General features: G+C 33.6%; 1 protein-coding gene across 27 annotated transcripts in view; it reads left to right on the plus strand.

Moving 5' to 3' along the window:
• Positions 1-22,104, plus strand: part of NAV3 (neuron navigator 3) — a 641,149-nt gene that overhangs the window by 372,374 nt on the left and 246,671 nt on the right. For all 27 annotated transcript variants that reach the window (XM_017020166.3, XM_047429817.1, XM_047429823.1 and 24 more), the window contains exon 4: positions 21,994-22,066. In XM_017020166.3, the coding sequence (XP_016875655.1) occupies positions 21,994-22,066 (73 nt within the window). The remainder of the gene's footprint in view (positions 1-21,993; positions 22,067-22,104) is intronic.

The following is a 22,104-nucleotide window of genomic DNA, read 5'->3' on the forward strand; positions in this document are numbered from 1 at the left end:
GTATTCTAACTCAGGAAGACTTTGGAAGATGTTTAAAGCTGGGCTGTGGTATGATCCAATATAAATACTTTAAAAGATCACCCTAGATGCTTTATGGGGATTATAAAGTAAGTAAGTGTTGGTGTCCAGTTGAATGTGGGTGACGGAGAGTACAGGGAGCTTAAAATGGCCCCAATTTTTTAGCCTGAATGGGTAAGTAATTACCATTAAACAAGATTATTATTATAGAAGCAGAAAAAAATTTCTTAAAAAGGTGGAGGGAGGAAGGTGATGAATTCATATTTTAACATGTGGAACTTGATGTATCTATTAAAACATCAATTTGGAGGAAACTTAAGGCTATTAGACATGTGTTTCTGAAGGTCAGAAAAGAGTATTGGTTAGAATATACTGAAAAAATAGGTAATATTTGAAACCATGGACAAGAATGGAATCTTACAGGAGGTCTGCATGAAGTCACAGGAGAAGAAACCTGAGGTTTTTCACTCTAGGAAATATAAATATTTATGTGATAGAGGTATAGGAGTCAGGAAAGGGAAAGAGTGTTGAGAGAGTGAGACTATTGTTGAGGAACAGAATCACAGATGTGGACTGCTAATCCTTAGGGAAGATGCAGTAGCTGAAGCTCTAATACGTGGACTACCCCAGCAAGTCAGGGCAAAGTAAGATGAGCAGAATGTGTAACATGCTGTCAAATGTTATGCAGCTAAATAGCTGGTATACTGGAATGTGGTATTTCTTTTTGGTAATTGGATAGGCATTGATTACCTGTATGTGAACATATTCTGTAGAGTGAATAACGTGTTAAAAAGTAACTCAGAAGTGCCAATATCCATTGAGTCATGAATAATTTTTCTAAGAGTGTCCTGTTAAGACACTGTTAGAGAAAAAAAAAAAATAAATAGCTTGAGAAGAAGACAGAGTTGAGGGGAGTTTTTGCAAGGGGGGAAGAAAGCATAGAAGGAGGAAGCAGTAGAGGGAAAGGAAAGGGTTCAGAGGAATGAAGTGGTAAGTAACTATACCAAGTCCTAAAGGAAGTAGAAGAGGAGGAAATTTTGGTCTGTGTGGAAGATTTGATATTGGAAAACAATAGGGATACATTTGTTTCTGTATCATGTCATAAAAGGTTATGATGGGGTGAAGATACGGATACTTGAAAAAAGTATGTATGTAACATATTTGTATAAACACAAATCTCTACATAGCAGCTACCACTGAAAGGATTATGGCCGGAACAGGGAAGAAACACATAAATAGAGGCAAGTTATTTGAAGGATTCTAGTTCTGTAGGGTATAATGTACTATATTATTCTGCTTTTACAACTTACATAAGTGTTACATGTATTATTTTATGTACATCAAATATACTAAATAATTTCAAAGTAGAAAAGAAAGTATATTAAATAGAAACTAGAGGAATTTAAATTAATATAACAACTTCAGAATTTTAGATAATATTAATGTGCTTGCTTTTCATGTGATTTTCTAATGGTTTAATGGTTACTTTATTTATTATTATTATTATTTTTTGAGACGAAGTCTCGCTGTGTCGCCCAAGCTGGAGTAAAATGGTGTGATCGTGGCTCACTGCAACCTCCACCTCCCGAGTTCAAGCAATTCTCCCTGCCTCAGCCTCCTGAGTAGCTGGGATTACAGGTGCCCACCACCACACCTGGCTAATATTTTTTAATTTTTTTAATTTTTAGTAGAGACGGGTTTTGCCATGTTGGCCAGGCTGGTTTTGAACTCCTGACCTCAGGTGATCCACCCATCTCGGCCTCCCAAAGTACTGGGATTACAGGCATGAGCCACCATGCCTGGCCATGGATACCTTATAATAAAGAAAAATTCACCATATATATATATGTATATATATATATATATATTGTGTAAATATACACATATATGTACATATATACATATATATATAATGATAGCACTATGACTCAAAGGAGTGGAATATTGCTATATACATACACATATATGTGTAAATATATGTGCGTATGTGTGTGTGTGTGTGTGTGCGCGTGCACCTTATAAAGAAAATTTAACTCTCTATATAATATGTGTATGTGTGTGGATATATATAATACATGTATATATAATCCCAACAACAATTCTTTTGAATAGCATAGTCCAAAGAGCACATATTTAAGAAAAATATGAATTTGTCCTTTTAGCACTTTATTAATATAATTACTGAGATATTGTGGTTCATATTTATCTTAAGTTTCAAAGTCATGGTTATTTTTCTTTGATGAGCTTGAGACTAAACTGGTCCTGGAAAACAGAACTTAGTTTGTTGGAGCTTAGTCAACACTAAATTTAACCTTATCCAAAGATGAAGTTACTAATGTGGATGGCACCTGTTGAGTAATTCCTAGGTGGGCGGCATCAGGATTCAAAATATATACTGCATGTCCCAACTTTGGTGAGCTTACATGAGGAAATAAATTAGTAAACTATAAATACCAGGAATGTCCCAAATGCCCAGCAAATTAAAAATAGCAAAAATATGTCCAACATTTACTTAGAATGCAGAGACACAAGTGCAAGTTTCTTAGACAAAAATGTTAGACATGTAGGGTAAAAGTTGTTTCAATGACATTTAAAACATTTTTTAAATAGACCATTATATTTAAGGATCTTCAAAAATGCACAGAAGAATGAGGACATCTGATTATGTGAAATAGTTACAAACCAAGTATTAGGCTATGTAAGACAGCTAAGGATCTGGCAAATGTATTTCACAGCTTGTCCTTCCTCTTTCTTGGCTCTGTTTTGTCGTAATAATTCAATTGTTTTCCAGCCACAACCTTCAACCTAAGGTTTTAGTATAACATGTATGTTGTTTACAATTTGCTGATATGAATATTTTTGGCTTCTTATTCCTTTTTAAATCCTAGTAGCTGGAAAATTAGATTTAGGTCTTTACTGCCTATCTGATTCCATGTCCGATAGGGTTATGGCTCCCAGAATCATTACTGTTATGGAATTCACATCTTTATCCCATTTGGGATAGAAATTTCTTGATCCTATTTCTATTGCTTATATTTATCTGGAAAGTGAAACTATTCTTAATAGTAAAAAAAAAGCCCATGCTTTTATCAGTAGCCTGTCCTTTAAAGTTTTATTTTTTTCAGCTACTGCTTGTAATCACTCTTCTTTTAAAGGATTTTTTTTTTTTTTTAGGTAAGATGAGAAGATGAGGTTCTTAACCAAATAGGGAAGAGATAAAATACTGGAATGCTCTTAAAGGTTTAATAAAATCTTATATATGGCATACTGCAAAATTGTAGCACTATGACTCAGAGGAGTGGAATATTGCTAAGTTAGTCCAGTCACATGATCCCTTGACTTTGAAAATATTCATCTTCTGGAATGGCTAGAAAAAGATAGCTTAATGAAGACAAATGCTTTATTACAAGTAGAGTTCTGATCTATAAAGAAATACTAAATGAAAATCTTTACTTTGTATTTTTCTTAATGATTTCATTATTTTTATACAAACTTCGCAAAAATATGTATAAACTACTAGTATCAGGGAATTTATATGTAAGTTATTAGAATATCACCTAAATGATTTTTAAATCTGCCTGTCTCTAGAGGTTGCTCCACACACTAGTCAAGTTCAAATGAAGTAATTGACATAACATGGAGGCATTAAGAGGCAGTGTGTTTTGTTAAAAGAACAAAGGTGACTGGAATTCCAATTTTGTATGTATGACCCAGGAAAAGGCATTCAGTAAATTCTCAAGGCCTCTGCTCATTTCTGCAATGAGGAAATTGGACAGATAAACTCTAAAGTCAATTGGAACTCTGATTTGCTACCTTGATTAAAAAAAATGCCAAAGATGATGATTTCTCTTCAGTTTTAGTAAGTCTAATTTACAAAGAAAAACAGCAACATGAAATCATTTCGTTGTGGGAATTCTTTGGTCTGCCATTTAGAAATTAAATAAAAGTTAAAAATACAAGAATGCCTTGTTGCATTAACTTTATATTATAGAATGAATAGCTTAAATGTTGTTCTTATTGTTGTCAATATTTATACTTGTTTGTGTAATTAATATGATAAATAGAAATTGGAATAAAGTAACGGTTTGAATTACAGATTTTTTCTTTGCTTTTGAAGAGAAGAAATAATTTTTAAGGACATTAAATTTATATATGCATATATAACTATTGCAAAATGTAGTTGATATTTCTACTATATCTTTGAATATTGACCACTTTAATAAATAATTGGCATATTTTTATCCTGATTTTTTTTGTACTTAAAATGCTACAAATTGTTTTTTATTGGTAGCCCAGTATTACTGTAAACACAAAATACAATCATTGTATTTGAAGACATATTTCGTAAGAATCCTTTTATAATTTTAGCTTTTTATATTTAATAGTTGGTGTTTTTAAGGAACTTATTGCTCCTTCTTTTTCAATTGCCCCCCCACCACTGCCAAACTTAATAAAATTATCACTTACAATAATCAGTGGAAAAATATTAACAGTAGGATAATTTTAACAATCTTAGTTTAGGAAACAAAATATTAAGATATTTGGCCATTTTCAATATGAATTGTAATACTCCTATCTGAAAAAAATCTGTGATAGTTTATATATTTAAATTTTTTCAATAATAAGAAAAAAGAGTAAATAAAATAGGGAAACTCTTGTTCACTTAACCTCTGTGTAATCATATGCAAAATTTATCTTTGATCAGATAAGTATTTTGAAATGTAGTAGATATGCCAAAGCTAGTTGCTTCATGAAATTATATTTAAATTATTTTAATATGAATTCAGTTAAAAACTGAATTGTGTGGATAGACACAGAAAATATATTGACATTCCTTGTTACACTCTGAAAAATCGTATTTCACACCTGCCTTCTATTAGCCATGTTTCAAACATAACAAGAAATACTGGGAAATCATTACATAAAAACATACAAATTTAGAGAAAGATCTGATAGTTCAATGATGTAATTATCACTTATTTATTGAACATCAATGGTATATACCTAGTGCTGTGCTAGGTGTTTTGCTTATGCTTTTCATTTAGCCATCACGGCAAACCTATAATGGAACTGCGTCTCATTGAGGCGATCTGTGTCCTTTATTTAGTAAAGTGGAAAAATTATGGTTTGGACTCATGTTTATTTAGTCTAGGCCAAATTATCTTTAGACTTATTAACAAATAAATTTAACAAAATAAGGTCTGGAATTCAGGTCTTTGGATCTTCCGCTATTTTTTTCCTTCTCCTCCTCCTCCACTTCCTCCCCCTCTTTATTTTTTTAAAAACTACTTTTTTTATAGCAAATTTAAGTTCACAGCAAAATTGGGAGAAAAGTACAGATTTCCTATCTACCCCTTTCCCTCACACATGCATAGCCTCCCCCAATATCATCATCACCCAACAGAGTAGTATATTTGTTATAATTAATAAACATATATTGAAACATCAGTATCACCCAGAATCCATGATTCATATTAAAGTTTACTCTTGGTATTGTACATTAGACAAATATATAATGACCTGTGTTACCATTATAGTATTATACAGAGAAGTTTTACTGCCCTACACATCCTCTGTGCTCCAACCCCTGGGAACCAGTGATTGTTTTACTGTCCCTGTGGTTTTGCCTTTTCTAGAATGTTATATTGTTGGAGTCATACAGCATGTAGACTTTTCAGGTTGGCTTCTTTCACTTAGTAATATGGATTTAAGTTTCTTACATGTCTTTTCATGGCTTGATGGCTCATTTCTTTTAAGTGCTGAATAGCATTCCATTGTCTGAATGTACCACAGTTTATCCATTCAGCTACTGATGAACATCTTAGTTGCTTCCAAGTTTTGGCAGTTATGAAGAAAACTGCTATACATTTCCATGGGTAGATTCTTGTGTGAACTTAAGTTTTCAACTCCTTTGGGTAAATACTAATAAGTGTGATTGATGGATCATATGACATTTGTTTAGTTTTATAAGAAACCACCAAACTGTCTTCCAAAGTGTTTTATTTTGCATTCCCACCAGAAATGAGTGAGAGTTCCTGCTGCTTCACATCCTCACTAGCATTTGGTGTTGTCAATGTTCTGGATTTTGGCCGTCCTAATAGATTTGTAGTGGCATTTCATTGTAACTATAATTTGAATTCCCCTGATGACATATGATGTGGAAATATGCATCTTTTCATATGCTTATATGTCTTCAGTATATCTGTTTTGGTGAGGTATCTGTTAAGGTCTTTGACCCCAGTTTTAAAAACCAGATTCAATGCCATCCCCATCAAGCTACCAATGACTTTCTTCACAGAATTGGAAATAACTACTTTAAAGTTCATATGGAACCAAAAAAGGGCCTGCATTGCCAAGACAATCCTAAGCCAAAAGAACAAAGCTGGAGGCATCACACTACCTGACTACAAGCTATACTACAAGGCTACAGTAACCAAAACAGCATGGTACTGGTACAAAAACAGAGATATAGACCAATGGAACAGAACAGAGCCCTCAGAAATAATACCACACATCTACAACCATGTGATCTTTGACAAACCTGACAAAAACAAGAAATGGGGAAAGGATTGCCTATTTAATAAATAGTGCTGGGAAAACTGGCTAGCCATATGTAGAAAGCTGAAACTGGATCCCTTTCTTACACCTTATACAAAAATTAATTCAAGATGGATTAAAGACTGACATGTTAGACCTAAAACTGTAAAAACCCTAGAAGAAAACCTAGGCAATACCATTCAGGACATAGGCATGGACAAGGACTTCATGTCGAAAACACCAAAAGCAATGGCAACAAAAGCCAAAATTGGCAAGTGGGATCTAATTAAACTAAAGAGCTTCTGCACAGCAAAAGAAATCTACCATCAGAGTGAACAGGCAACCTACAAAATGGGAGAAAAGTTTTGCAATCTACTCATCTGACAAAGGGCTAATATCCAGAATCTACAAAGAACTCAAACAAATTTACAAGAAAAAAACAAATAACCCCATCAACAAGTGGGCGAAGGATATGAACAGACACTTCTCAAAAGAAGATATTTATGCAGCCAACAGGCACATGAAAAAATGTTCATCGTCACTGGCCATCAGAGAAATGCAAACCAAAACCGCAATGAGATACCATCTCACACCAGTTAGAATGGCGATCATTAAAAAGTCAGGAAACAGCAGTGCTGGAGAGGATGTGGAGAAATGGGAACACTTTTACACTGTTGGTGGGACTGTAAACTAGTTCAACAATTGTGGAAGACGGTGCGGCGGTTGCTCAAGGATCTGGAACTAGAAATACCATTTGACCCAGCCATCCTGTTACTTGGTATATACCCAAAGGATTATAAATCATGCTGCTATAAAGACACATGCACACGTATGTTCATTGCGGCACTATTCACAATAGCAAAGACTTGGAACCAACCCAAATGTCCATCAATGATAGACTGGATTAAGAAAATGTGGCACATATACACCATGGAATACTATGCAGCCATAAAAAAGGGTGAGTTCATGTCCTTTGTAGGGACATGGATGAAGCTGGAAACCATCATTCTCAGCAAACTATCTCAAGGACAAAAAACCAAATTCTGCATATTCTCACTCACAGGTGGGAATTGAACATGAGAACACTTGGACACAGGAAGGAGAACATCACACACCAGGGTCTGTCGTGGGGCAGGGGGAGAGGGGAGGGATAGCATCAGGAGATACACCTCATGTAAATGATGAGTTAATGGGTGCAGCACACCAACATGGCACATGTATACATATGTAACAAACCTGCACGTTGTGCACAGGTACCCTAGATCTTAAAGTATAATTAAAAAAAAAAAAAAAACAGGTTGTTTGTTTTCTTGTTGAGTTTTAAGAGTTCTTTGTAAACTTCGGATGATGATTGTGTCTTCTGTAAATATTTCTGCTAGTCTGTGGTTTGTCTTCTCACTCTTTTGACACTGCTTTACAGGGCAGAAGTTTTTAATTTTTATGAAGTCCAGCTTATCAATTATTTATTTTATACATCATGTCTTTAGTGTTGTGTCTATTTTTATTTATATATTTGTTGCATGTAGATGTCCAGCTCGTCTCGCACTATTTGTTGAAAAGTTGATCTTTGCTTCATTGTATTGCCTTTGCTTCTTCAACAGATATCAATTGACTATATTAGTATGGGTCTACTTCTGGGCTCTCTATTCTGTTCCACTGATTATTTTCCCATTTTTTCACCAACCCCACACTGTCTTGATTACTGTTTTGATTACATGACTTACTTCATGTAGGTCATAAAGCTGTGTTGTGTCAGTCCTCCAATTTTGTACTTCTTCAATATTCTGTTGGCAATTTAGGTCTTTTGACTCTTCATATAAAGTTTAAAATTAGTTTGTTGATATCCACAAAATAACTTCCTGGATTTTGATTGAGATTGCTCTTTCTAAAAAAAATTATTTGGCTCCTCTGCTTCTCCCTTCCCTATGCCCAAACTTGCAATATAAATAAGAATTATTCTTCAATATTACACTTGTTTCTTCTATCTGTGGCAGGGATATAAACTCTCGTGAAACTGGGAGAGGGAGTGGTCTTGTGAAACAAATAATGATTTATAAATTTTATGGTAAAATTATGAATTTGGCAAATAATAAGTTGTTATATGTAACTTGAGCTCTTTATATACATACATGTTTTTAGGTTTAGAAGAGTTTAATAACTTTATAATAAAACAATAAATTCCCTTGTTTGGTTTTGTTTTCTGGAACAAACTTAAAAGCAGAAATTTATTAAAAAACAAAAGAATATATCTTCAGGTCAATGAATACTGATGTAATTTTTAATAAATTATATTTATAACACTTTTGCCAATTATAGCTTATAATGAAGATTTAATATCATCTATAACTGATACAAAATATTAAACGATGCTCATAATTCTCCAATTATCAAGTAAATTAAAGAAGAATAGCAGGGTTTTGAACAAAATATTTTATCTGATTATATCCTCGGGAACTTTCCATATCTATGTCTATACAGCTAGTCACAGACACACACAACTCTGTTCTAGCATACATGTGTTTATAGAGCTTAGCTCCATATTAGGAAGAGTATGTTTACATATAAATAATTGAATATACCCTTCTCCATTTCTAGTGTGGATATATGTGTGTGTATACATACACACACACCCACACATGCCTAGAAACTTCTCAGTTTCTTACATTGTGTAAATTGTAATACCATGATGCAAATCCAGTTTAACTGCAAAATTTTTAATTACACCATAGGACCTAATTAATAAACGTACTCCTTGTATCTAATCACAGACCAACTAAACAAATAAACAAAAACCGAAGAGCAAAACCCAATTACTGTCCCCTATTCCTCTCCCTATTTTGCAACACAAACACATTTGAGATGGGAAAGGAAAGCCCGCAAGGCGTTCCTTTGCAATGACACAGGAGTAACTAATTAAACTGCACCTCTCATCCTCTCTGCCCCCAGCACTAAGACTCAACAAATCACAGTTCGAGGAAAAGGCCTGGAATTACGCATGCTCACAATGATCCCTGCTCAGCTTTGGGCTTGCCAAAGTTTTGATTTCTACTACTTTACTGAGTAGATCCTTGTATTAGTTTCCTGTGGCTTCTGTAACAAATTACCACAAATTTGGTGGCTTAAAACAATAGAAATTTAACTTCTCACAGTACTGGAGGGCAGAAATCTCTATCATTGGGCTGGAATCAAGGTGTCAGCAGTACTGTACGTCTTCCAGAGGCTGTAGGGATATCCATTCCTTTCCTTTTCTAGCTTATGGTGGATGCCAGCATTCTTTCTTTTGCTTGAGGCCACATCAACCATTCTGTATGTTAATCTACCACCATGTAAAATGCATTGGATATTTGAGAAGTAATATACAAGTAGTTAAACTTGTGAACTTATGAAATGTGTGGAACAAGTGGATTTTTGCATACCCATTTCTGTCTTTACCTTTACACTACACAGTTTTCATTCTTACATTCAACCATATATTTATTGAGCCCCTACTTTGTTTGTACCTGGCACTATTTCCTAGCCATCTGCCAGTTGTGTAGTAAGCCTGAGTCAGAGGCTGCGAATAGCTTAGTGAGAATGTTTAAATTATAGTGGTAGTAAGCATAATGAGGCAGAAGAGCAAGCTCATTGCAGAAAGACAGGTTTAAGTTTTAGTTCTGGCTCTGCTCCTCATTAATTGTGTAAGCTTATATAAACTATGCTATCTCTCTGAGCCTCTACTGAATAAGAAAAATAATACTGACTTTACTAAAACTTACAGTGAAGATGAAAAGAGTTTTGTATATGGAGTAAATAGCATACTTGCTTATGACTCTGTGTAAACTTCCTTCCTGTGCTTGGTTGTTGAGTGGTGGAGGAGAACATAGAGAAGCTCCAAATCATTTTCCCTGCTTCCATTCTTTACATGCACAGTAGGATTTTTAAAACTGCAAATTGCTCACATAGTATCTTATGAGTTAGTGTATTACAACTGAATTTAAAAATGAAATATACTAAAATAGGATTTTTTAAAAAATTGGAGTGTATTTCAGATATGAGTAAAAATTGATTTGTGAAATTTTTATTACTATCTGTTAATAAATCTATGTATGTACTGTGTGGTCATTTAAATGGATGTATTCATTGCAATACTGATCATTTCCCTTTTTTGATTAAAGCACACGTTTAGATCTCTGATCTTTAAGATCAAGCTTGACCCTTAACAAGGCATGGAGGATGTTCCTCATTGAGCCCTTACTTATTTCTGTGGCCTTGTCTCCTGCCACTGCCTTTCTCCAGATTTCAGGATTTGTGCTCTGGAGCTCCTTCTGCCTGATGCCTTCTACCCATGTTCTTCAAACTGATTTGAAGGCTACTAACCTTTTGAGCAGTTTCACAGTGATAAACAATGGGAAGTTGTGGAGAAAGATTTAAATGAGAGTCAATTCAACATTCCTGGCTATTCTGATCTCTTAAAGATCCCTCAACCTACGCTGTTTCTCAACCATGCCCAGTTCACATATAGCTCCTTCCCGCGTTCACCTCGTACCACATCCCCTCCTTCAGCAAAACCTTCCTAACCTCTCAGGGACTAACTCAGGCTTCCCTTAAAGCAGCAAAATGTGGGGGTTAGGAACATGGGCTCTGAGTGACCTTGGGCATAGCAATTCAGTTCTGTGATCAACACTTTTATAATAAATTGGTATAGTAATGACAACTTCGAAATAACATATCTTTGTTACTATGTTAGGTAGGTCTTAGTTACTAATAACTTTCTCCTTTCCTAGTCTTTTTGGCCTCTGATCAGAAATAGACCCTTCTGGACAGCTGCAGTGGCTCACACCTATAATCCCAGCACTTTGAGAGGCCAAGCATGGTAGATCACTTGAGGTCAGGAGTCCAAGACCAGCCTGGCCAATATGGTGAAACCACATCTCTACTAAAAATACAAAAATTAACCTAGCATGGTGGTGCACACCTGTAGTCCTAGTTACCCAGGAGGCTGAGGCAGGAGGATCGTTTGAGCCCAGGAGGTGGAGGTTGTAATGAGCCAAGATTGTGCTACTGCATGCCAGCCTGGGCAATGGGAGTAAAACCCTGTCTCGAAAAAAGAAAAGAAAAGAAAGAAAAAAGAAATAGACCCTTCTGCATTCTTTTCTAGGAGTCTGTGTTTCTGTGTCATAATATTTATTGCATTAAATTGGAATTACCTCCCTTGCCTGTAAAACTATATACTTTTTAGGGCTTGGAAATGTCTTGATGAACCAATAATTGTTAAATGAATGAAGGAAAACAAGCATCCTACAAATTTTAACCAAAGCAAAAATATTACTGTATTTTACTTTAACTCTCCAGAAAAAATTTATGTCTAGTTAAAATCTTAGGATAAATTCTATGTAATTACTTGAATTCAGTGTTAGGATTGGCATTTGCTGAAACTAAAACATCTTATCTATTTTTTAATTGAAAATTTATTAATTTAATTTATGTAATGGCGCTAGTATTACATGTTTAATGTGAAAAATGAGAAGTATAGTTCATGAAAAATAGCACAAGTCACAAAAGAATCTACCTTCCCGAAATATCCAAAGTTAGGATTGGTTTACGTTTTTCTAGACATTCTCTATGTATGATTGGCAACAGCAATATCTAGCACTTTAGCCATTTTCTAACTTGGATGCATTTCTTATGGAGAGAGAAATAAATCTTTGAGGTATTATACCTGCTATCTGGTTTATGATTATTTAACTTTTTACATTGTAGCAGGGTTTGAGTCCAATGGGCAACACAGTGTTTTAAATCCAAGGTCAAAGTCAGCTCTATAAGCATAACTGCAGAAGGTAAGGACTGGAGCGATCACTTCTCAAGCATCCTTGTGAACAGTTTTCCTTATAGTTGCTCTGGTTGGTATGCCCTGTTCCTCCTTCTGATGCTTGTCTAACCTTATATAAAATCCAACTTATTTATTTATTTATTTATTTATTTATTTATTTGAGACAGAGTCTCACTCTGTCACCCAGGCTGGAGGGCAGTTGTGTGATCTCGGCTCACTGCAACCTCCTCCTCCCGGGTTCAAGCCGAATCTCCTGCCTCAGCCTCCAGAGTAGCTGGGATTACAGGCACATGCGACCACACCCAGCTGATTTTTGTATTTTTAGTAGAGACAGGGTTTCACCATGTTGGCCAGGCTGGTCTCAGACTCCTGACCTCAGGTGATCTGCCCACCTCAGCCTCCCAAGGTGCTGGGATTACAGGCGTGAGCCACCACACCCAGGCCCAACTTAGCTTTTAAGTCTAAATGACACTTTTATGAAGCTTTCTCTGTATCTGTAGTGGAAATTAATAACTCCATTCTCCTCGCTGCTCTACAGAGTTGTTTATAATTCTCTTTGGAATTTATCATGTTATGCCTTGCATTATGACAATTTATAAATCTTTTCTGTCTCCTCAGCTATTTTACAAGCTCACAAAGGCAAAGATCTTATCATTCATTTTTATATCCCTTCACCATTGAGCAGAGCTCTTTGACCATAATAAACAGTCTATAGTTGCTGAATGAATTAATCACTTAGTGTTAAGTGTTGTGCCATGGTTTAGATTTAATCACAAACTATAAGGAGGTTATTAATCATATCTTGGTATTTAGTACCAAACTGTAATGTTCATTAACTATCCATAAGTGTAAAAAAATGTGAATAGACAAGATATTACTTTGTTGATATTGTGATAGATTCTTCCAATTACATGTCCTGAAACATGTTATATTTGCAGTAAAAAATGCTAAAAGGCTGGCTGTAATAAAACACACAGCTTAAAATGTATGAGTTCAATAAAGAGCTATGCTAATTAAAAGCACTACATTTTTAGAATAGTTTATTCATCACTGAAATGAATAACTATCAGTATTTTTTTTTTTGAGACAGAGTCTTGCTCTGTCCCCCTGGCTGGAGTGTAGTGGGGTGATCTCGGCTCGCTGCAACCTTTGCCTCGCAGGTTCAAGTGATTCTCGTGCCTTAGCCTCCCTGGAGTAGCTGGGATTACAGAAGCCTGCCACCATGTCTGGCTAATTTTTGTATTTTTAGTAGAGACAGACTTTGCCATGTTGGCCAGGCTGGTTTCGAACTCCTTACCTCAGGTTGTCTGCCCGCCTTGGCCTCCCTAAGTGCTGGGATTACAGGCGTGAGCCACGTGCCCTGCCAATATCAGTGTTTCTAATACACACTCTATGGTTGATATGTCAAGAACACGTGTTAACTCTCAGGTTTAACAAAATAATTGTAGTTAAAAATACACTGGTAAGTGTCTTGAGTTTTCATATGTGAAGGTGATGAAAATTCTTCCTCTTCTCATCTGAAACCCAATTTGTAATTTAGCAATCAGACATGTTTATATTTAGCAAGTATGTAAGGGTCAGTATAAATATACAGCTATGAAAATAGACAATCAGAAAAATTCTGCCTTGAAAAATTTCTGTTCCATTTTTCATGTGAGTAGTTGAAATAATTCAGTGCTCTTTAGAATATATGAAAATAGTGGCTGTGTCTCGAAATTGATCTCTGTAGCACAGAGCACATTTTCAGGCATAAAATAAGTTTAATAAATGTGTGATGAGTGAATAAATAAATAGTGTGTTTGATAGAACATGAAACAATGGTAGTGTTACAGGATGCTAATATTAAGTATATAGGTAGAAACTACTCAATTCTAAAAATATGGACCAATTTCTATTACATTTGTTTAGTTTCTATAATAAAGAAAATAACAGTCCATTTGAAGAATTACTCTAACAAAACTGTTTTTCTTTAGGGCATTATGATAAGATTAAGTATTTTGATGAAATCCCAAAACCTCAAGGCTCAATGTATCCATGCATTTGGATACTTCTGAAAATAATGACTAGATCTAGCTCTCAGAAACTTTTCATTTTATTTTCATTACACAGCCAACATTTTTATAGTTATCAAGCCATGCTTAAATTTAACATGAAAAAGAGAGAGAAAGTAGGTGTTCCATGCCAATAAAAGATAAACCACAAGTAGAAAAGAAGGGCCCAAGAAATTGTGCTTGACATTAAATTGTGCCTGACATAATAATAGCAAGTAAATGTCCTGAGGTGACTGTCCATAAGCTACAGATTTGACTGTTACCTGAGCCAAATGAGAAATGTGGTGTCCGTTGAAATCATAATGAATTTCTTTGTATTACTGCTATAAAGGAATACGTGTTTTAATATCACAGGAATAACACATGAATTATATAGTATTATGGTCCAAATAAGAAAAATATAATGTATTACTCTAGTGTGAACAGTGCAATTCCAGCAACGACATGGTATTAAACTGAAATTATCTGCAGTTAGTTTCTTTGAAGAACATAGTTGGAAGTTGTAATTTACAAGTTTTGCTACAAATTGGAATCACCTGCAGATTTGTAATGTATAATGAAACTGGCTTCTATCTGCTGACATTCTGATTAAACTTTTGAGTTCGTAAATGTAAATTGGGCTCTATGGGTTTAAAAGATCCTCGGTTAATTCTTAAGTGTAGTAGAGTTTAAGAAATACTAGATTAAAAATTTGGGAACTGAGTTTACTGGGATACAGATAATTCTCAGGAAACTCTGTGTAATACCAAAAGTGAAAGGGGCTATGATGTGAAATGGCATCATTTATACCATTATAGCATTGTTACCCTCCATTAATATTAAAAACTGTTATAATAACAAAAGGTATTTTTTGTTGTTGTGAGTTATTGAATCCCTACTATGTACATTGTATTGTGCTAAGTGTTTTACATGTAAAATTTAACTGACTCTTCTAAGTAATTATACATATTATCTGCTTTTAATTTTTCTTAAATTGAAAAAATCAGCTAAAATGATTATTATGGGCCCCACCATCATGGAATTTTTTTGAAATCATTTATTTCTATTAATCCCAAAATATAATGGTAACAAATTTTCCCCACACATCATTTCAATTTTTATGGACTATTGATTTTTCTAAATGTTAATTAAAAGCTCAAAACTTGACTAACCCCTTGGCACTTCCATTTCTCACTCATTTGCCTGTTGTGATCGTGTTTTGGTTTTCTATTCTCATCAACATCTTTTCTACTCCAGAGTAGTATATTCCTCCCTGACCCGACAAAAAAAAAAAAAAAAAAAAAAAAAAAAGACCAAAAACTAAGTTTTGGACATATAGCAGGCCAAATGCTATTACAGATTATAACTGATGCTATGTCTAAATTTATTAATTCATTCAGATAGTCAACAGTAATGCATTAAGCATTGATTGTGCCTGGCCATGGTGTGAGGTCCTGGGGGTAGGAGGGTAAATGTGAGAAGAGAGACATCAGCTCCCACCAGCAGACATGAGTTCATGTATATCAGAGGAGAGGCTTAGGATGCCATAGAAGTAAGTCAGCTCATCAGGGTCAATGTTCAGGAGACATAATTAATTTGACTACTAATATTATTTCCAATTAGGGTTTAATTATTTCTCTTTTTTATTTGACTGCTTCAAGCATGAAAACACTATTTTATTCTTGCTGTAGTTCATTTGTTTCCTCAGCAATTGTTTATAGATCACCTAAGTCATACATTTAGACTGGGGAGAGAGCAGTAGCCAAAATTAAAAAGAATCAATAGGGAGTATACATTCTGGCCAGTCATATATATATATATACACACACACACACACACACATATACATAAACACATATATATATAACACATTAAAGTATATATCATGATGTATACTGTAATATATGTAACACATATGATATAGACTTTAATAACACATAGCATATATTACCTATAATATATAACATATATGTAATGTATGTAATATACTATTATATATACTTTAACAATGTTTATACATATTAGCATTACATATACGATTATATTACATATATAGTAATATATAATTAAAGTATATGCTATATATTATATATCATACACATATGTATCATGTATATAATATATGCATATATATGATATATACATATGCAGTATATAAATATACAATACATATATGTAATAAAAATGCATACATGTATGGTATGTGTAATATACACATATGTATATATTACACACATATAATAATATATTGATATTTAATATGAACATATCATATATTCAATATACATGTGTTTAATATATTATGTGTATACATGCCTATGTCTTATGCATGTAATATATGTATATATGTATATGTTACATGTATACGCATATATGTATATATGTATATGTTACATGTATACGCATATATGTATATATGTATATGTTGCATGTATACGCATATATGTATATATGTATATGTTACATGTATACGCATATATGTAATATAATAAATATATACTTTAATAATATATTACTATATACATATGTCTATATTACATGCATAAGACATATTTGCAATATATAATATATATTTTAATAACAGGTATTACTATATATGTAATAATATATTAAAGTATTAAAGTATATGTCATATATTACATATCTGTATGACATATGCAATATACACATATGTATATATTACACATATACATATATGTAATATAATAAATATTACACATATACATATATGTAATATAATAAATATATTAATATAAATACATTATATATTTAGTATAAATGTTTACTATATTATGTATATACATATGTCTCATACATGTAATATATGTATATATACATATGTATCTATTACATGTATGAGACATATATGTAATATATTAAATATATAATATATACTTTAATAATATATAACTGTATATGTAATATATATTATTAAAGTAAATATTATATATTATGTATCTGTAATATATATATTTGAATATATATTACTATATATGTAATATATATTATGCAATATATTATTACATTATATATATTACATACATGTAATATATGTAATATATGTTATATAATATAAGTAATGTATGTTACATATATGTAATATATGATTAAAGTAGACTGGGGAGAGAGTGTAGACAAAATAAAAACCATCATGAAGGTTACATTCTGGCTGGTCCTCTATGTATACATTACACACATACAAACACACACATGTAATATGTAACATATACTTTAATATTTAGTTCATGTGTGTATAATGTTATGATATATACTTTAATATTTAATTTAGATATTTGAGCATTTGCTATTTGATAAGCACTATTATGAGCACCTTTCATGAATTTATTTATTTAATTCTAAATCTAATAGTCAACTCTTAGCTCTTGTCGTACATGACTTGTTAGCAGCTTTTGATAGAGCTCATCTTTCCCTTGTGCTTAAAATACTTTCTTCAGGTGGTTTTCTGTACCCCATCCTCTCCTGATTTTCCTCATACTTCCCGGTGGCTTTGTTCACTCTTCTCTGTTGGTTCCTCCTCTTCTTCCCAAGGATAATCTCCTAAGGCTCAATGTTTGTTCCTCTTCTTTTATGTCTACACACTTTTGTTGATAATCCACCCTCAAGACTTCATTCACATTACCAAAAAATTTGAATTTAGATCTCCACCCCAACCTCTCAATTGAACTCCAGATTGTGTGTCCTACTGCCTACGAACCATCTACTTTTGAATGTTTGATGGACCAGCCAACATGTCGAAAAAGAAACTTCCGACTTCCATTCATGATCTTTTCCATCTCATTGGATACAGACTTCATCCTTCTTGTGATTAAAGCCCAAAACCTTGGAGTTATTCTTGACTCTTCTCTTTCTCTCAAATGCCATATCTTCCCATCAATTTCTCTCAGAAAACATCTGGAATCTGACCATTTCTCATCACCTTCACTGTCTCTTCACTAACCTTGTTGCTACCCTTGAATATGCCCCGTACTGCATACCACCTGCCACGAACCCCACCAGAAAAGAGGCAATGTAGGCATGGCAATGCTCTGGTCTTCTTAGGGCAGTGTTTTACATATTGTGGATTACCATCCATTAATGGACCCTGAAATCCATCTAGTAGATTTTAAGCAACATCTAAATAGATTAAACAGAAGACAGTACAGTGCACTAGGAAGCATCACAGTAACCTGAATTTAGTAAGGTAAAGTATTATTCCGTGAAACTTTGACTCCATTATAATTATGTATGTGCATATTGGGTTGTGCTATTCAATTTATTTCTTGCTGTGGGTCACAGTCAATATTTTAGAAAATATTAAGGTACATGAAGTTATTCTAATTAAAATTTCACCCAAATTTTTGGTGTTAAAATATGATTTGAATTTTGTTAGTTTGTTTGATATCCGATTCAAATAATAATGAAGGAAAATAAAACAGATTACAATTATTTGGCTCAATTTGATGGTAAAATAACTTTTATCTGTTTGTAAGTTACCAAAAAGTTTTAGAGGTTTTTAGTTAAAAAAATTGACATTAAATATGGAAAAAAGCAATTAAAACAGTGTTTGTACTAGGTCTATTTATAATAACTGAGAGATGTTTAAGGGAAATCCATATTAAAAACAGGAATGATAAAATCTTTACAATTTCTTGAAATAAAATTCTTAACCAGAGAATATCATTTTATCATTAAAAAATCCACTCAAATTATCTTAAAGTATGCCTCTGGTGAGAAAGTGACCATATAAATGGCATTTAACAAGATATCTTAAAACCACTTCTTTTTACTGTAAAATGTATAGCCTAGTATATACTAACAAATGTTATTGAATTTACAGAAGGACTAGAATTAAGTGGGGAAAAGGTATTATTTTCTTGAAAGTCATGTTTATTATGCTGATACATTGTGAGAAAATAAATTTTGGTAAACTGTTAATTTTAACAATAAATGTTGAATAAATAAATGCACTTTAATGAACTAGCCTTTAATAGTCATATTGGAAACTGTATTCAAGTACTTATTCTGTCGCTAACTTAGCTACTCAGGCAATAATGGGGAACATAACTAACTATCTTAAATTGCTGGTCCTCATAATGAATGACTATAAAAGAATAGTAAAAATGGTTGAATGCTCCTGATAAATACATTTGAAAATAAAAAAGAATGTATTATCGATCATTTGTTGTTGTTGTTCTCCTTCCCCTTCCTTCCTTCCTTCCTTCCCTCCCTCCCTCCCTCCCTCCTTCCTTCCTTCTCCTTCCTTCTCCTTCTCCTTCCTTCTCCTTCTCCTTCCTTCTTCTCCTCCTTCTGCTCCTCCTCCTCCTTCCTCCTCCTTCACCCTCCCCTTCCTCCTCCCTCCTCCTCCCTCCTCCCTCCTCCTCCCTCCTCTTCCCTCCTCCTCCTTTTTCTCCTTCTCCTTCTTCTTTCTTTCCTTATCCTTCTCCTTTTCTTCTTCTTCTCTTTTGCATTCCCCTTCTGATTGTGGTGCAAGTTGAGAGAGAGAGTTGTGTCTAACACTCAATTTAGAAATCAGTTTATTTTATATGCTGGTTAAATGGTAGGCAAAAATTTATCTTACAAACTTAGTTACAGACTCAATGAGCCTTTTCTGGATTTTCAGTGAGCTAATCTGTTCATGTATAATATGAGTAACTAAACTTTAGGTAATAATATCCTATTAACATTTTGTAGCAAATCACATTTGGGTCAGAAATCTTCCTTCTTTCTATAAAAGGCATATAATTGCATTGAAATCAAGAACTTTAGGACTGCTCTTGCAAACATTTAAAAATATTCCATCACATTATCTTTCTTAATATTAGGCCACAATAATTATTTGGCATCTTTCTTTTACTAATTTTTAATGGATCTTAAAGAAATACATTTACAAGAATACTGTGGATGGATAGAGAACATCAAATTTACCTCATTTCTTGTTATTGTTCCTCCTCTTTTCCTTCCTTATATAATCTTATAGCTAGCGGCAGAATGAAATATGAAGAAAGGAAAGAATTAATATATATTTCAGCACTGTCGCCTCATTGGATATTCAGATGGTGATCTGCAGAACAATAAGATTTATTATGTTATGTTGTATTCAGCATCTTCAACTCTATTATTTATTCATTAGAATAATTTCAGTAAAACTTACTTTGAAGTTAATTAATATAAATTTTTTTTTCCTCAAAATAAATGAGTATATCTTGGCTGTGGTCATTTTTAAGCAAACAGCATATCATTGTATATTATCAATTTTTGTATAAAATTACTATTTTAAAGGAACATAAATAGTTTCTCTATTTTATAAGGATAGATTCTTGAATCTATTTTTTTCTTTTCATTTTCTTTAAGAGACATTTTGACCTTGCTATGAAGCTAAGCTAGGGAGGACATTGGCAGAACTCTGTGTGTCCTCATGCATAGCTTTCGATGAGAATTTAGTAAGACAGACAATAGGACCTTGCCAAGTTATTAATTTTAAATCTCTTCTTTATTGTAGAATCTAAAGATTTATAGAATACCCCCAAATCCAGGGAGATGGATCACAAAGAATTGGAACTTTTTAGCTTTCTATGCTCTTACGAATCTTAGCTGTGTCACTGCTATATAATGTCATGATCAAATTTTTATTTTTTTATTTTTTTGCTTTTCACCCTAAATGAATATAAACTGGTAATCATATTGAAACCAATCATTTAAAATCCATGGGGCCTGGCATGGTGGCTCACGCCTGTAATCCTAAAACTTTGGGAGGCCAAGGCGGGTGGATCACTTGAGGTCAGTGGTTCGAGACCAGTCTGGCCAACATGGCAAAACCCCTCTCTATAAAAATATAAAAAATTAGCGGGGCGTGGTGGCGTGCGCCTGTAGTCCCAGCTACTTGGGAGAGTGAGGCCGGAGAATCGCTTGAACCCGAGAGAGGGAGGTTGCAGTGAGCCAAGATCGTGCCACTGCACTCCAGCCTGTGTGACGGAGCAACATTCTGTCTCAAAATCAAAAACACAAACAAACAAACAAAAAGTGCCTTGGGAATCACCCTTTTAAAATATCAAACAAAATACCTGTATTTAATCAGCAGATTATTCACCTCTAGAAATACAAATATAATTTTTAAAATAAGTATTTGCTATGTTTAGGATGAAAATATGCTTCATTTTCATGTTGTTTCAAACCTGTCTCCATCTATCTATCTTTTGACGTACTTGACAAACACTGCTGGTTGAATCTAAATTACCCACATCCTAACATTCTAAGACTCACACATGCAACAATCTCAGTCTGTATGGATGCTTTCACGGGGACTTATTTGCAAAATACAAGATCCAGTTTTATGTTAAGTAGGTGGGTTGCTAATCTGCAAGAATGCCATTCTTTATCAGGCCTTTATGAATTGTTTGTAAGTACCAGCTGTACAATGAAAGCTTTATATTCATTCTGCAATTAGCCAAAATAATTCTAGTTAAACTCTGGTTAAGACTTCTAGTATGAAATGAATGTAAACTATTCATTCTTTATCGTTCTTTCTGGTTTCATTTTGGCACATGTATTTGTTAAAATATAATCCTCTAAGTTGCTTTTTCACTGCTTTTCATGTTGCAGATTGAAAATGTTGATGTCTGCCTTAGTTTTCTAGCAGCCAGAGGGGTAAATGTTCAAGGTCTATCTGCTGAAGGTAAGAAAAAGAATGACTGAATTGTCACAAATGGCATC

Source organism: Homo sapiens, chromosome 12, assembly GCF_000001405.40.
Source record: "Homo sapiens chromosome 12, GRCh38.p14 Primary Assembly".
In the NCBI taxonomy this organism is placed as follows: Eukaryota; Metazoa; Chordata; class Mammalia; order Primates; family Hominidae; genus Homo; species Homo sapiens.